Below are 12,545 nucleotides of genomic sequence, written 5' to 3'. Positions count from 1 at the left end.
CCGAGTAGCTGGGACTACAGGCGCCCACCACCACGCCCAGCTAATTTTTTTGTATTTTTGGTAGAGACGGGGTTTCACCATGTTGGCCAGGCTGGTCTTAAACTCCTGACCTCAAGTGATCTGCCTGCTTCGGCCTCCCAAAGTGCTGGGATTACAGGCATGAGCCACCGCACTCGGCCAATGTTTATATTTTTAGTAGAGATGGGGTTTCACCATGTTGGCCAGGCTGGTCTTTAACTCATGACCTCGAGATCCCCCCGCCTCGGCCTCCCAAAGTTCCCAAATCGCTGGGATTACAAGTGTGAGCCACCGCGCCCAACCAATTTAAACATTTTCTGGTTGACAATTGTTTGAGTTTGTTGTCTAAAGACCTGGGATTGTTGCCGAGCATGGTGGCTCACGCCTGTAATCCCAGCACTTTGGGAGGCCGAGGTGGGCAGATCACCAGGAGTTCGAGACCAGCGTGGTCAACCTGGTGGAACCCAGCCTCTACTAAAAATACAAAAATTAGCCAGGTGTGGTGGCAGGTGCCTGTAATCCCAGCTACTCGGGAGGCTGAGGCAGGAGAATCACTTGATCCCGGGAGGCAGAGGTTGCAGTGAGCCAAGATCGTGCCATTGCACTCCAGCCAGGGCGACAGTGAGACTCTGTCTCAAAAAAAAAAAGAAAAACACAAAAGACCTGGGATCAGTAGAAAGCAATGTTTGGAGGCCGGGCACAGTGGCTCACACCTGTAATCCCAGCACTCTGGGAGGCCAAGGCGGGCGGATCACGAGGTCAGGAGATGGAGACCATCCTGACTAACACGGTGAAACCCCGTTTGTACTAAAAATACAAAAAAATTAGCCGGGCGTGGTGGCAGGCGCCTGTAGTCCCAGCTACTCTGGAGGCTGAGGCAGGAGAATCACTTGAACCCAGGAGGCGGAGCTTGCAGTGAGCCGAGATCGCGCCACCACACTCTAGCCTGGGCGATAAGTGAGACAAGAAAGAAAGAAAGAGAGAAAGAGAGAAAGAGAGAGAGAGAGAGAGAGAGAGAGAAAGAAAGGAAGGAAGGAAGGAAGGAAGGAAGGAAGGAAGGAAGGAAGGAAGGAAGAAAGAAAGAAAGAAAGAAAGAAAGAAAGAAAGAAAGAAAGAAAGAAAGAAAGGAAGGAAGGAATGTTTGGGTTGTGGTGAGGCTGTGGAGATGAAAGCTGTATCATGCAGATGAAGCTTTTAGCTAGGAGGCTTCAAAGAGAACAGGCTGTAAAATGTTAATCTTTAAGTCTGATAGACTTCAAGTATGTGTTGGTGTTAGTGCTGGAGAGGTCTAAAGAGGCCGTCCAACCCCCGATTCTCTTCCTGGCCCAAACCAGTCTTTCAGGTTAAATGTTAAGAGCCCTGGCTGAGGAGGAAGTCTGTTTAGATGTCTGGGGTGGCCCTTAGAATTTTATTTTTGGTTTACAGGGTTTACCAGGTAAGTCGTTTTCCTGGGAAAAAGAACGAGTTGAAAGGAAGAGCAAGGATCCGCTCCGGACCTCACTCCTATATTTTGCTGAGATGAAAACCACAATCCCTGCACTGCGAGACTCATCTCATAATTAGAAAACAAAGGATTATCCACCGGGTTCTCTCCCCTCGCCCTGTGGCCTTGCTGCTCCCCTGCAGTTGCTCCAAATGACAAAATAATGACGGGTTCGCCTTGTGAGAGAGGGTGGCCTGCTCAACTCCACGCTGGCGCTCTGAGGGGGGCAGAAGATGCCTCGTCTCATTTATGTTGCAAACAGCCTTAAAAAGGACCTGCAGGGCGCTGGGCGTGGTGGCTCACGCCTGTAATCCCAGCACTTTGGGAGGCTGAGGCGGGCGGATCACGAGATCAGGAGATTGGGACCATCCTGGCTAACCCCAATTCTACTAAAAATACAAAAAATAAAAAATTAGCCGAGCATGGTGGCGGGTGCCTGTAATCCCAGCTACTCCGGAGGCTGAGGCAGGAGAATTGCTTGAACCCGGGAGGCGGAGGTTGCAGTGAGTTGAGACTGTGCCACTGCACTCCAGCCTGGGTGACAGAGTGAGACTCCGTTTCAAAAAAAAAAAAAAGAAAAGAAAGTATTCTCCCAACCAGCTCAAGCGAGAGTGCCACAACTTTTTTTTCTTTTCTTTCTTTCTTTTTTTTAACCTCTGAAAATACACAACATGTGATAAATTACTGACTGGAGCTGAAAAGACCATTGTCCTGCCTCTGTAAAAATCAAAACGCTGCCGAATCTTTCCAACAGATGGCACTCTTTGCTAAGATTCTAGAGTCATAGCTTTCAGGCGAAGGCGTTTCAGGGCCGGCATCAGGGACGTCTGAGAGGAGTAGATTTGCTGGATAAATCTAGAATGTTGTCATATGAAAACCCAGTAAAAACCGACAGAGGTGGCGTAATAGCTGTGTGACTTGAACACGCTCATGGCTGTTGTCACCCTTCCTGCTTAAGGGCTCCAGCACTTGCCAGGAGCCTGGCTCTGGGGGCACCAACCATGACTTGCACCAACTGTGCAGGGCCCCCTCTGTGCCGGTGGGGACCCCTGCACCTCCCTTATTAATTCTCACTCACCCTGGGCTCTCAGCTCCAGGTACCACCTCAGAAAAGTCTATCTGGACCTGCCTGGTCCCTGTCGCTGTCGCTGGCTCACCCTGTCATGTCCTTGGCTTATCATGGTTGTAATTTTATGCTTTGGGGTATGACTGTTGGTTGCCTTTCTTGTTACTCAAAGAAGAATGGTGGAATGATTAAAAGTACCATATAAGTTCAGAGTCAAAAGGACAGCTCCCAGGCTACTTGCTGGCCGGACAAGCGAGGTAACCCTACCAAGCCTCAGCTTCCTTATTTGCAAAATGGCTCTAACTGGCACCTACCCTATTGCATAAGAAGCTGTCTAGGGGAGGACTCAGTGAGCACTCGGTGAGTTTGCCCAGCCATGGTGGTACTGTCTCCTTCCCTCTGCAGGCACAGCGGGAAGAATAGGGCAGATGGAGGGGTCTCTGCACCTTCCACAGCCAGCAATGTGGACGGCAGATTACAAGTTAGTATCTGTGTGACCTCCGCACTCCCCCGCCTGTGGCTGCCTGGGCTGCTGAGATTTCGCTCGGTTTTATCACCGCAGAGGAATGCCCGACATACCGGGGGGCGAGCAAGGTCCAGAATGACAAGCCCTGGCATTCCTCAGCCGCCCCCTCCCTGGGGTGGGGCCTGGACATTCCTGGCTGCAGCTAGAGGTCCCAGCACGACAGGGATTCTGACCCCCCTCCACCACGGCTATTGTTCAGAATTCTGTGGATTCCAGAGGCATCTGCCCAGCAGACTGTCTTGCTGTGAACACCCAGCTCTGCAACCGGTGTTTGCGTGTTTGCCCTGGGAGGCTGAACGCTCACCCAGAACAAAGGCCTCCCCACATGCCTGCTGTGAGCTTCCAAGGACTCGTTTGCACACACGCCAAGGAACCCCGGGGTGGGGTGATACTGAGGAGCTTCCTCCCTGACCCACACACACCCTTTGAACAGGTCTTTGGCCGCTCACCAGTCTGGTCAATCTCGGGGCAGTATTTATATTCCTTCCCATTTCCAGGCCTAGGAGCCTTGGCATCCTGCTCTCGCCTCTAACTGAAATTACCTCTCAACCCTTTTTAGCTAAGATGCCTCTCGCATTCCCTAGGAATAACAAGCTTTAAAGCCCCTTCACACTGAAGCCTGCCTTTGAATTCCCCAGGTAGATTTGGGGGTGGGGGTCTTATGGCTCCCAGCGAACCCCCGGTTCTGTTGATTAAATTGAGCTCAGGCAGATTGCTGGCTTCCCAAAGCCTGTGTTATTACTGCTTCTCAAAGCTACGGGCACCGGATCGCCGTCTTTGGCAAGATTCTTTTGGGATACAATGGGAATTACTGGGTGGCCTCGGTTCGGTTCTTCCCTCGTCCCAGTTCGCGGCTCACCAGCCCCACTGATGCAGCCCCCAGGCTGGAAGGAGGCTGCAGGAGCTTCCCCTCAGGTCATCCTCTCATCCCTCCCCCGTGCCCCAGGAGCTGGTTGTGGGGGCGGTTCCATCCCCTCGGCCCATCCGGGACAGGAGCCTAGGTTCCCTTCGGGGGGTACCCCAAACTCCATCCTTGGCCTCAGGCCAGCCCTGGTGCACTGCCCGCTCCCAGGCTTGACGAGAGGCTGCGGGCCAGTGGGTGAAGGGGCGCGCCCTGACTGCCAGGCCCCGCCCAGGCGCATCCGGGAGGACGGGCTGGGATGACGCGGGCGCCGGGAGGGGGGAGGTCGCGAGGCCGGGGTCTCCATGGCGCAGGAGGACTGGGGCCTTCGAGGACCACGCGGGCCTGGGAATAGCCCGCCAGGCTGGGCCGGACGACGCACGTGCTCCGAGCTGGGCCGAGGGGGCGGGGCTGAGGGACGGGGCCGGGCCACGGGGCGGGGAGGAGCCGCGGACGGTGGGCGGGGCCGGCGGGCCGGGGCCTAAAAGGCGGCGCGGGCGGGGTTCCTGACGCAGCTGCGGGCGGCGGGCGGCGCGCACACTGCTCGCTGGGCCGCGGCTCCCGGGTGTCCCAGGCCCGGCCGGTGCGCAGAGCATGGCGGGTGCGGGCCCGAAGCGGCGCGCGCTAGCGGCGCCGGCGGCCGAGGAGAAGGAAGAGGCGCGGGAGAAGATGCTGGCCGCCAAGAGCGCGGACGGCTCGGCGCCGGCAGGCGAGGGCGAGGGCGTGACCCTGCAGCGGAACATCACGCTGCTCAACGGCGTGGCCATCATCGTGGGGACCATTATCGGCTCGGGCATCTTCGTGACGCCCACGGGCGTGCTCAAGGAGGCAGGCTCGCCGGGGCTGGCGCTGGTGGTGTGGGCCGCGTGCGGCGTCTTCTCCATCGTGGGCGCGCTCTGCTACGCGGAGCTCGGCACCACCATCTCCAAATCGGGCGGCGACTACGCCTACATGCTGGAGGTCTACGGCTCGCTGCCCGCCTTCCTCAAGCTCTGGATCGAGCTGCTCATCATCCGGCCTTCATCGCAGTACATCGTGGCCCTGGTCTTCGCCACCTACCTGCTCAAGCCGCTCTTCCCCACCTGCCCGGTGCCCGAGGAGGCAGCCAAGCTCGTGGCCTGCCTCTGCGTGCGTGAGTACGGGGCGCGGGCCGGGGGTTGGGAGGTCGTAGTCTCTGGGTCCCTGCATCCTTGCATCACTACGCCCCTGGCTCCCACATCTCTACATCTTTACGTTCCTGGACCATCCCGGCAGTTCTAGGCTAAGGTCATTGGTCCCAGAAACCACGTGCGTTTCTTTCATTCATTCTTTTACACTTCTCCCCACAGGCTGGGAATATCTTCAGTGACGGGACAGCAGGGTCCCTGCCCTGCCCTTCGGTGGGCATTCCATTCCCCCACTTAAGCGGTTTAGGCAAGTGCCACCCTCCCGTTGGCCCCGCTGAGCAATACTCCCAGCCTCTTGCGTGGCACCCACGTGGAGTAACTGAGCAATCGGTTTACTGTTAGAGCTCCGATTGCTGACTGGTTGGTGAGAAGGAAATTGCAGTTAAAAAAAAAATCATTCATTTCTGCTCTCCACACCAGCTCGTCAGGAATCAGTGACACGGGCTGACTCATAAGAAAACAGTAGTAATAACATCGTGTGCGGGTAGTGACTGGTGCTGATTTAGGCTAAGGGATCCCCCCTGAGGGTTCCCAGTAGTGAGAGAGCGGAGCTTGGCTGCAGATTCAGTCTGTGTTGCAGTGAATGGACGTGCGGGTCCCAGGTTTCTCTGGGAAACAGCCATGGGGCTCCTGTTTTGGTGGGCATGGTGCTGGTGTGTTCTTCACCAGGCCAGAGATAACTGCTTTTCAAAATAGTTTTCTTTTTCTTTTTCTTTCTTTTTTTTTTTTTTTTTTGACACTGAGTCCCGCTCAGTCGCCCAGGCTGGAGTACAGTGGCACGATCTCGGCTCACCGCAAGCCCGCCTCCCAGGTTCATGCCATTCTCCTGGCTCAGCCTCCCGAGTAGCTGGGACTACAGGTGCCCGCCACTACGCCCGGGTAATTTTTTTTGTATTTTTAGTAGAGACGGCGTTTCACCGTGTTAGCCAGGATGGTCTCGATCTCCTGACCTTGTGATCCGCCCGCCTCGGCCTCCCAAAGTGCTGGGATTACAGGCGTGAGCCACCGTGCCCGGCCTCAAAATAGTTTTCTTGTGGGATTTCAGGGGGAAAATCACTTGTAGCAGATGCCACATGATTTGGTTGGGTGGCGTGGGAAGGTGGGTCTTGGCAATTCTCAGATTCATCCCATGGCATGGATCGGCCTGCATCTCAATAGTGTGTGTACACATTCAAGGTGGGAAGGGCTAATTTATAGTTGGGGTCTTGAGCCATGAAATCAGGGGAGTGGCTTCTGACTGGCAGGACCTGTTGGCGCTGTTTTCTGCCACACCGTACTTTGGGGGGGAGGGGGAGGGGGAGGCATTTCTTCATAAATGTGAGAATGCCCCGAGGGCAAGACTCAGCAGGGCTCTGTGTGGTTTCTCTGAGGCTCTGAGTCGAGCAGCCGCACCACCATGCAGGTCAAAGCCGGGAAAAATCGTAGCAGGACAGCAGTGGGGAGAGCCTGTGCCTTCCAGCTGGGCGTTGGAGATGTGAATGTAGGGGATGACTCTGATTTCTTTTTTTGTCATTAGAATTTCACTGGTTCAGTCTCCCTCCCGCCTAGGTACATGTCGGCCCGGTATGTAACGACATGGATAGTAGCTTACGCAGCCTGCACTCTTATCTTTAAAAAATGAACCCCTGGTTGGCTGGGTGTGATGGCCCACGCCTATAATCCCAGCACTTTGGGAGGCCGAGACGGGCGGATCTACCGAGGTCAGGAGTTCGAGACCAGCCTGACCAACATGGTGAAACCCCATCTCTACTAAAAATACAAAAATTAGCCGGGCAGAGTGGCTCACGCCTGTAATCCCAGCTGCTTATGAGTCTGAGGCATGCTCCGGGATGTGGAGGTTGCAGTGAGTTGAGATCCCGCCACTGCACTCCAGTCTGGGTGACAGAGCAAGCCTGTCTCAAAAAAAAAAAAGCAGCCCCTGGGTGCTGAGTCTCTGACTTCCTGCTGGTGCCAGGAGTGAGTCGTGGGAAATGCTTCATTGGCCACCAGGAAGGAGACGTAGGATGGGGCGCTGCCTAGTTTTCTCTTTCTAATAAAAATCACATCAGTCATACATGAATTCATCATCATTTAAAAATTCAAACCAGCCAGGCACTGTGGCTCACACCTGTAATCCCAGCACTTGGGAGGCCGAGGCAGGCGGATCACCTGAAGTCAGGAGTTCGAGACCAGCCTGGCCAACATGGTGAAACCCCATCTCTACTAAAAATACAAAAAATTAGCTGGGTGTGGTGGCAGATGCCTGTAATCCCAGCTACTCGGGAGGCTGAGGCAGGAGAATCACTAGAACCCAGGAGGTGGAGGTTGCAGTGAGCTGAGATCGCACCACTGCACTCCAGCCTGGGCAACAAGGCGAAACTCCATCTCAAAAAAAAAGCAAAAATCAGCTGGGCGTCATGGCGCACACCTGTAGTCCCAGCTACTCGGAGGCTGAGGCAGGAGAACTGCTTGAACCAAGCATGGTGCCACTGAGCTCCTGCCTGGGTGACACATTTCTCCTCCTTTACCACCCCCGACCCCCAGAGTTTCTGCGGCTGACAGTGTATGCTTCCGGAGCTGCTTCTGTTACAAATATATCGCTGGCCTATTTATTTAAAAGATCATAATGTACAACTTGTTCTCCACCTTTTTTTTAAAGCCTAAAATGGTTTTGCCATGTTCCCAGGCAGTACGCAGAGGCTGCCCTCTTTAGCTGCTAAGAAGACTTCCCTGTGTCGGCAGGAACAAGTGTGCTCACCGCACCCCCGCCCCCCCATAGAACCCTGTGGAGGGCATTTGGGGTTTCCCAGCTTTGTGCAAATGGGAAAAGGGTATGTGGTTTTTTGCTTTTTGTTTTTGATTTTGTTTTGAGACAGAGTCTGTGTCTGTTGCCCAGGCTCGTTGCTCACTGCAACCTCTGCTTCCTGGGTTTAAACGATTCTCCTGCCTCAACCTCCGGAGCTTAGATTACAGGCATGTGCCTCAGCCTCCCAATTTGCTGGGATTACAGGCATGAGCCATCGCACCCGGCGGGGTGTGGATTCTAATGTAATAGCTAATGTGCCTTCCAAAGAGGCTGTACCAAGTCACGCGTTCCTGGATTTATTTTGTGGTAATAGGGCTTTAAAAAGTATTTTTTAAATTTATTTTTATTTTATTTTATCTTTGAGATGGAGTTTTGCTCTTACCCAGGCTGGAGTACAATGGCACGATCTTGGCTCACTACAACCTCCGCATCCCGGGTTCAAGCGACTCTCCTGCCTCAGCCTCCCGAGTAGCTGGGACTACAGGTGCCCACCATGCCCAGCTAATTTTTTGTATTTTTAGCAGAGACGGGGCTTCACCATGTTGGCCAGGCTTGTCTTGAACTCCTGACCTCAGGTGATCCACCCGCCTCTGCCTCCCAAAGTGCTGGGATTACAGGCTTGAGCCACCACACCTGGCCTAAAATAGCTTTCCAAGCAGTCCTTTTGGTCCCAGTAGGTAAAGCTTCAAGGCAGGCCCTAGAGTGCCAACCCTCTCTGACCCAGAGGTGAGGGTTAATGTTAATAGGGTCCCTTTCAGCGAAAGTTAGGGCCACACTTCTCATGTCCCTAAGCCATTTGTACTTGTTTTTTTTCTCTGACCCACCTGTGTGTGTGGTGAGTATGTGTGTATGTGTTGCTTTTTTTTTTGGAAAGTGATTTTCAGTAACAGAAAGGGATGTACTCTCTGCAAGAGTGAATCTATTCTTGCCCCTGTGTGTAAGGCAAGAAAGAGAAGCTGTGTTCTCTGAACAGGCAGACCCTGCTGAGAGAGGGAGGTGTGTTGGGGTTCAATCATTCTGGTGGGAAAGATATTAGAGATAGTTATAGAAATAGACACAAATCTTGGAAGGCCGAGAAGTTGGCATAACTTCGGTAATTAGCTCTGGCTGAAGGCGGCCTGATCCCTTTACCTTTAATTAAACAAATAAAAATAGTGATAAAAGAAAGGCAGCGTAGTTTACCTAGCTAGCTTGTTTACTCGCATAATCTTAAGACCGTGGGTGTTTAAGTGCTTTTTACTTGGGAAGTCCACAATGTCTGTTACATTCTAATGGTGTTGACTCAAGCTTTTGTTAGTTAATCATACTGAATAAATGCACGTCTGACTAGCTGATCAGGGCCAAGTAGCAACTGTTTACAGGACTCAGCAGGGAGCCTATAAGCGGCTGGGACCCTCAGCTGGACTGGCAGAGCAGAATATCTGTGTGTCTGTACTTTATTCATCTGTCACCGGGTCAGGGGTCTGCAAGGAGTGCTGTCGCAGAGGTGGGCTTTGCTGAGGCTGGTAGAACTCCAAGCTGATTCTCAGGTCATTCTGACTTCAGCTCGGAGAAGGGCAGTGGATGTCCCGGGAAGGGAGACCCTGCCCTTATAGGGGGGCTTCTGACAGGTGCAGGGGGCAGCCTGGAGCCCGGACCAGTGGGCAGGATGGGCGCTCCAGGGTGTGAAGGAGAGGCCGGGCGTTTGATCTGTGGACATTGCTCCTGGAGCAGTGAAAAGCCATAGAAAGTGATTTATTTTACTTATTTATTATTTATTTATTTATTTATTTTGAGGTGGAGTTTCGCTCTTTTTGTCCAGGCTGGAGTGCAATGGCACGATCTCGGCTCACTGCAACCTCTGCCTCCTGGGTTCAAGCGACTGTCCTGCCTCAGCCTCCCGAGTAGCTGGGATTACAGGCATGCACCACCATGCCTGGCTGATTTTGTATTTTTTAGTAGAGACAGGGTTTCTCCACGTTGGCCAGGCTGGTCTCGAACTCCTGACCTCAGGTGATCCGCCCACCTCGGCCTCCCAAAGTGCTGGGATTACAGGCGTGAGTCAGCCTACTCGGCTGATATATATATATATATATATATTTTTAAATGATCACACATAAGGTTGGGTTCTGGAATTTTCTGCTTAGGAAGGGAAAGGGCACCTTTTACCCCCTTATTCCTTGAGCCTGATCCTACAGAAGGTACAGTGGCTTTCGGGTCTGGATCCTCAGCCCTCGGGCCTCTGAGGCTGCCTTGGGAGAGGGTATAGATTTGAGAACAAGGTTCTCAGTTTTGCTGGCTGTCTTTTCAGTCGCCCAGGCACGTCCCACAGAAGGTTTCTTTTTGTGAAATAATCGTGTGAAATGGGTTGGCCTCGGTGCTTAGAACCATCCCACTGACGGTGAGTGAAAAAAATCCCTTGCTTGTCAGTCTGGGTAGGAGATGAGGTCCTTTCACGCGTGTCTTCGTGTTGGTGCGCTTTTCACTGGTCATAAAGGTGAGAGGAACCAGCTCCATGTGTCTCTTTCTGGATGGCCATATGGAACTTGGCATGACAGTAGGGTTGTGTGGTTATTTATTGCTTAACGAAGACTTGGCAGCGTGTACTGGAAATTCAAGCGATGCTGGGTTTTATCAGAAGGCGCAAAGGCTGGAGCTGAGATTCTGGCTGGGCCTGGATTTGGTTTGGGCAGTTTATCTGACCTCCCTGGGCCCCAGCTGGCTCTGCATAGCGAGTAGGGTAGCATCCACTCAAAGTCCCGGTCCACTGTGGCCCGGCACTGATCCAGGCGAGTTCTCAGTAAGTGGGAACTCACAGGTTCAGAAGATGCTGTGGGCCTCAGGGGCTTCCACCTCCAGGGAGGTGCTCTCAGAAGAAGGGCCCGATGGGCTCACTGCATCGTGGAGAAGATACCCTGGCTCAGTCTCAGTCACTTCTCCAAGCGCATAGGTGTTCGGGAAGTGGCCTGCAGACAGCTCCTCCATGCCTTGAAAGCAGAAGTAGCCCCCTCCTGTTTCCCTGTCCCAGTTGGGTGAAGCATGGGGGGCTGCTGAGACAGTCCCAGGCGTGCCGTCACGCAGGGGCAGGCCGTCCGTCGGTCTCGCGGGACTCTGGCTGCGGGTGGCTGAGGACACCTGGCCTCATGGGAGACGGTGCCAGGGTCCCTGGAGTGAGGTGGCTCTCCTCCCCATGGCTGTCACTCCTCAGCAGATTGGTGTGGGCGGGTATGCGTTTAGGAACCTGTGAGCTGAGACACTGTCCAGCTAGCATCAGGCCAAAAGCAACCAAGGCTTTGAGAAATCCACCTGGCCCCGCCGAGCCTGTTTCTGACTGTGGAATGGGATTGGCCCCAGCGCCAGGTGTCTGGGAATCCCAGGCCTCTGCGTGTGAAGGTGCCAGTTGCACGGGCTGTGACCGTCCCTCCACGTGCCTGTATCTCCTGCTCACTGTGCACATGGAGCAGCCCTCAGCCTCACTGTCTTCTCCTCTGGCAAAAGAAGGAAGGAGCAAGGGAACAAAGAGAGGGAGGGAAGAGCCAGAGACAGGAGCCAGGGTTTCCTTTAGTCTGGAGCTCTGGGTGCGAGATGATGTCACCCACCCACGCTCGGCACAGGCCCAGGGTCGGGGGGCTATGGGTGGAAGTAGGAATCGCCACAACTGTCTCTGAGCCCCTCCCTAAAGGGTGAAGGGTGTAAGGGGTGGGTTTTGATGGCTGTGGGCTTAGCTGTGGTCAGTGGACTCAAAGGCCAGTTGGCCAGTTAGCAGTGACCAGAGAGCAGAGGGGGCCTGTGTGTGTTTTGCCCCAGGGTCTTCAGGCTGCCTGGCTGCCTCTATCTGCCCCCTGGGTGTCCAGCACCACCCCCCCAACCGCTGGGGTATCCAGCACCTGTAACCTGTAGCCCCGCTTCTCAGTCCAGGCCTGTTCCAGGGCCCCCCTGGGGTATCAAGCACCTGTAGCCTGTAGCCCCACTTCTCAGTCCAGGCCTGTGTAAAACCTGGCCCCGGGTTGGGTTTTGGGATCCCTGCACCCCTCCACCCCCAACCCCCCACAGCTGGGATCCTGGCTCAGCTGGCAAAGGTTCTGCGTGTTTAAGGAGCTGGGTGGGCCCCAGAGCTCAAGCCGTGGGCTCATTGCAGGCGGCAGCCAGTGATTAGTGCTGAAATCTGACTTTCCCAGCCGCACATGAAAGTGCCGCCGGCACCTAGGCAGGTCACGCTGCATCACGGGATTCGGGGCAAGGCCGTAGGGGGAGCTCACAGAAGCACATGACCTGAGCCACACAGGAGAGCCTAACGGGCACTTGTGACCCTTTTTTCTTGGGTCACAGACCTCTTTCATAATCCAGCAGAATGTGCAGAATCTTGCCCAGAAATGTGTATCAGCCGCCTTCACACAGAAGGGTGGGTTGCGCAGACCCCCGGGGGCCCAGGCCAGGTTGAGAGCCACCCCCAGGAGAGGGGTGTCCAAGGTAGGGCACACTCTTGGACCACCTCTTGGCACCTCTTGGCCACCTCTTGGCCACCACTTTGCACTCCAGCCTTTGAAGCCAGTGATAATCCCCAATTTACAGCTGGGGAAACTGAGGCAGGAGCGAGCCAGGAGCCAGGGGCCACAGTGCC

General features: G+C 54.4%; 1 protein-coding gene across 1 annotated transcript in view, besides 9 other annotated features; it reads left to right on the top strand.

Annotated features, from left to right (window-relative positions):
• Nucleotides 2,141–2,467: a transcriptional cis regulatory region, noted in NCBI's record as "candidate enhancer chr16.4806 targeted for multiplex CRISPR interference". NCBI's record gives its function as "positively regulates expression of the SLC7A5 gene with high confidence and the MAP1LC3B gene with lower confidence in K562 cells {active_cell/tissue: K562}" and the evidence as "EXISTENCE:mutant phenotype evidence [ECO:0000015][PMID:30612741]".
• Nucleotides 2,429–3,190: an enhancer, noted in NCBI's record as "OCT4-NANOG-H3K27ac-H3K4me1 hESC enhancer chr16:87904427-87905188 (GRCh37/hg19 assembly coordinates)". NCBI's record gives its function as "activates a minimal SCP1, AML or CMV promoter by ChIP-STARR-seq in primed H9 embryonic stem cells {active_cell/tissue: H9 hESC(primed)}" and the evidence as "EXISTENCE:reporter gene assay evidence [ECO:0000049][PMID:30033119]".
• Nucleotides 2,429–3,950: a biological region, named in NCBI's record as "P300/CBP strongly-dependent group 1 enhancer GRCh37_chr16:87903871-87905070".
• Nucleotides 2,547–3,746: an enhancer, noted in NCBI's record as "P300/CBP strongly-dependent group 1 enhancer chr16:87903871-87905070 (GRCh37/hg19 assembly coordinates)". NCBI's record gives its function as "activates an origin of replication core promoter dependent on BRD2, BRD4, P300/CBP, MED14 and CDK7 cofactors, with strong dependence on P300/CBP, by STARR-seq in HCT116 cells {active_cell/tissue: HCT116}" and the evidence as "EXISTENCE:reporter gene assay evidence [ECO:0000049][PMID:35650434]".
• Nucleotides 3,191–3,950: an enhancer, noted in NCBI's record as "OCT4-NANOG-H3K27ac-H3K4me1 hESC enhancer chr16:87903667-87904426 (GRCh37/hg19 assembly coordinates)". NCBI's record gives its function as "activates a minimal SCP1, AML or CMV promoter by ChIP-STARR-seq in primed H9 embryonic stem cells {active_cell/tissue: H9 hESC(primed)}" and the evidence as "EXISTENCE:reporter gene assay evidence [ECO:0000049][PMID:30033119]".
• Nucleotides 4,191–4,540: a silencer, noted in NCBI's record as "silent region_7842". NCBI's record gives its function as "represses an Ori minimal core promoter by ATAC-STARR-seq in GM12878 lymphoblastoid cells {active_cell/tissue: GM12878}" and the evidence as "EXISTENCE:reporter gene assay evidence [ECO:0000049][PMID:35858748]".
• Nucleotides 4,504–12,545, top strand: part of SLC7A5 (solute carrier family 7 member 5) — a 39,485-nt gene continuing 31,443 nt past the window's right edge. The window contains exon 1 of the mRNA NM_003486.7: nt 4,504–5,126. Within this exon, the coding sequence (NP_003477.4) occupies nt 4,589–5,126 (538 nt within the window). The 5' untranslated portion in view covers nt 4,504–4,588. The remainder of the gene's footprint in view (nt 5,127–12,545) is intronic.
• Nucleotides 7,556–7,605: an enhancer, noted in NCBI's record as "active region_11342". NCBI's record gives its function as "activates an Ori minimal core promoter by ATAC-STARR-seq in GM12878 lymphoblastoid cells {active_cell/tissue: GM12878}" and the evidence as "EXISTENCE:reporter gene assay evidence [ECO:0000049][PMID:35858748]".
• Nucleotides 8,954–9,534: an enhancer, noted in NCBI's record as "OCT4-NANOG-H3K4me1 hESC enhancer chr16:87898083-87898663 (GRCh37/hg19 assembly coordinates)". NCBI's record gives its function as "activates a minimal SCP1, AML or CMV promoter by ChIP-STARR-seq in naive H9 embryonic stem cells {active_cell/tissue: H9 hESC(naive)}" and the evidence as "EXISTENCE:reporter gene assay evidence [ECO:0000049][PMID:30033119]".
• Nucleotides 11,233–11,990: an enhancer, noted in NCBI's record as "H3K4me1 hESC enhancer chr16:87895627-87896384 (GRCh37/hg19 assembly coordinates)". NCBI's record gives its function as "activates a minimal SCP1, AML or CMV promoter by ChIP-STARR-seq in primed H9 embryonic stem cells {active_cell/tissue: H9 hESC(primed)}" and the evidence as "EXISTENCE:reporter gene assay evidence [ECO:0000049][PMID:30033119]".

Source organism: Homo sapiens, chromosome 16 (assembly GCF_000001405.40).
Source record: "Homo sapiens chromosome 16, GRCh38.p14 Primary Assembly".
NCBI classification, from domain to species: domain Eukaryota; kingdom Metazoa; phylum Chordata; class Mammalia; order Primates; family Hominidae; genus Homo; species Homo sapiens.
Note: the sequence above shows the minus strand (reverse complement) of the source record. Positions and strands in the feature narration are given on the sequence as shown.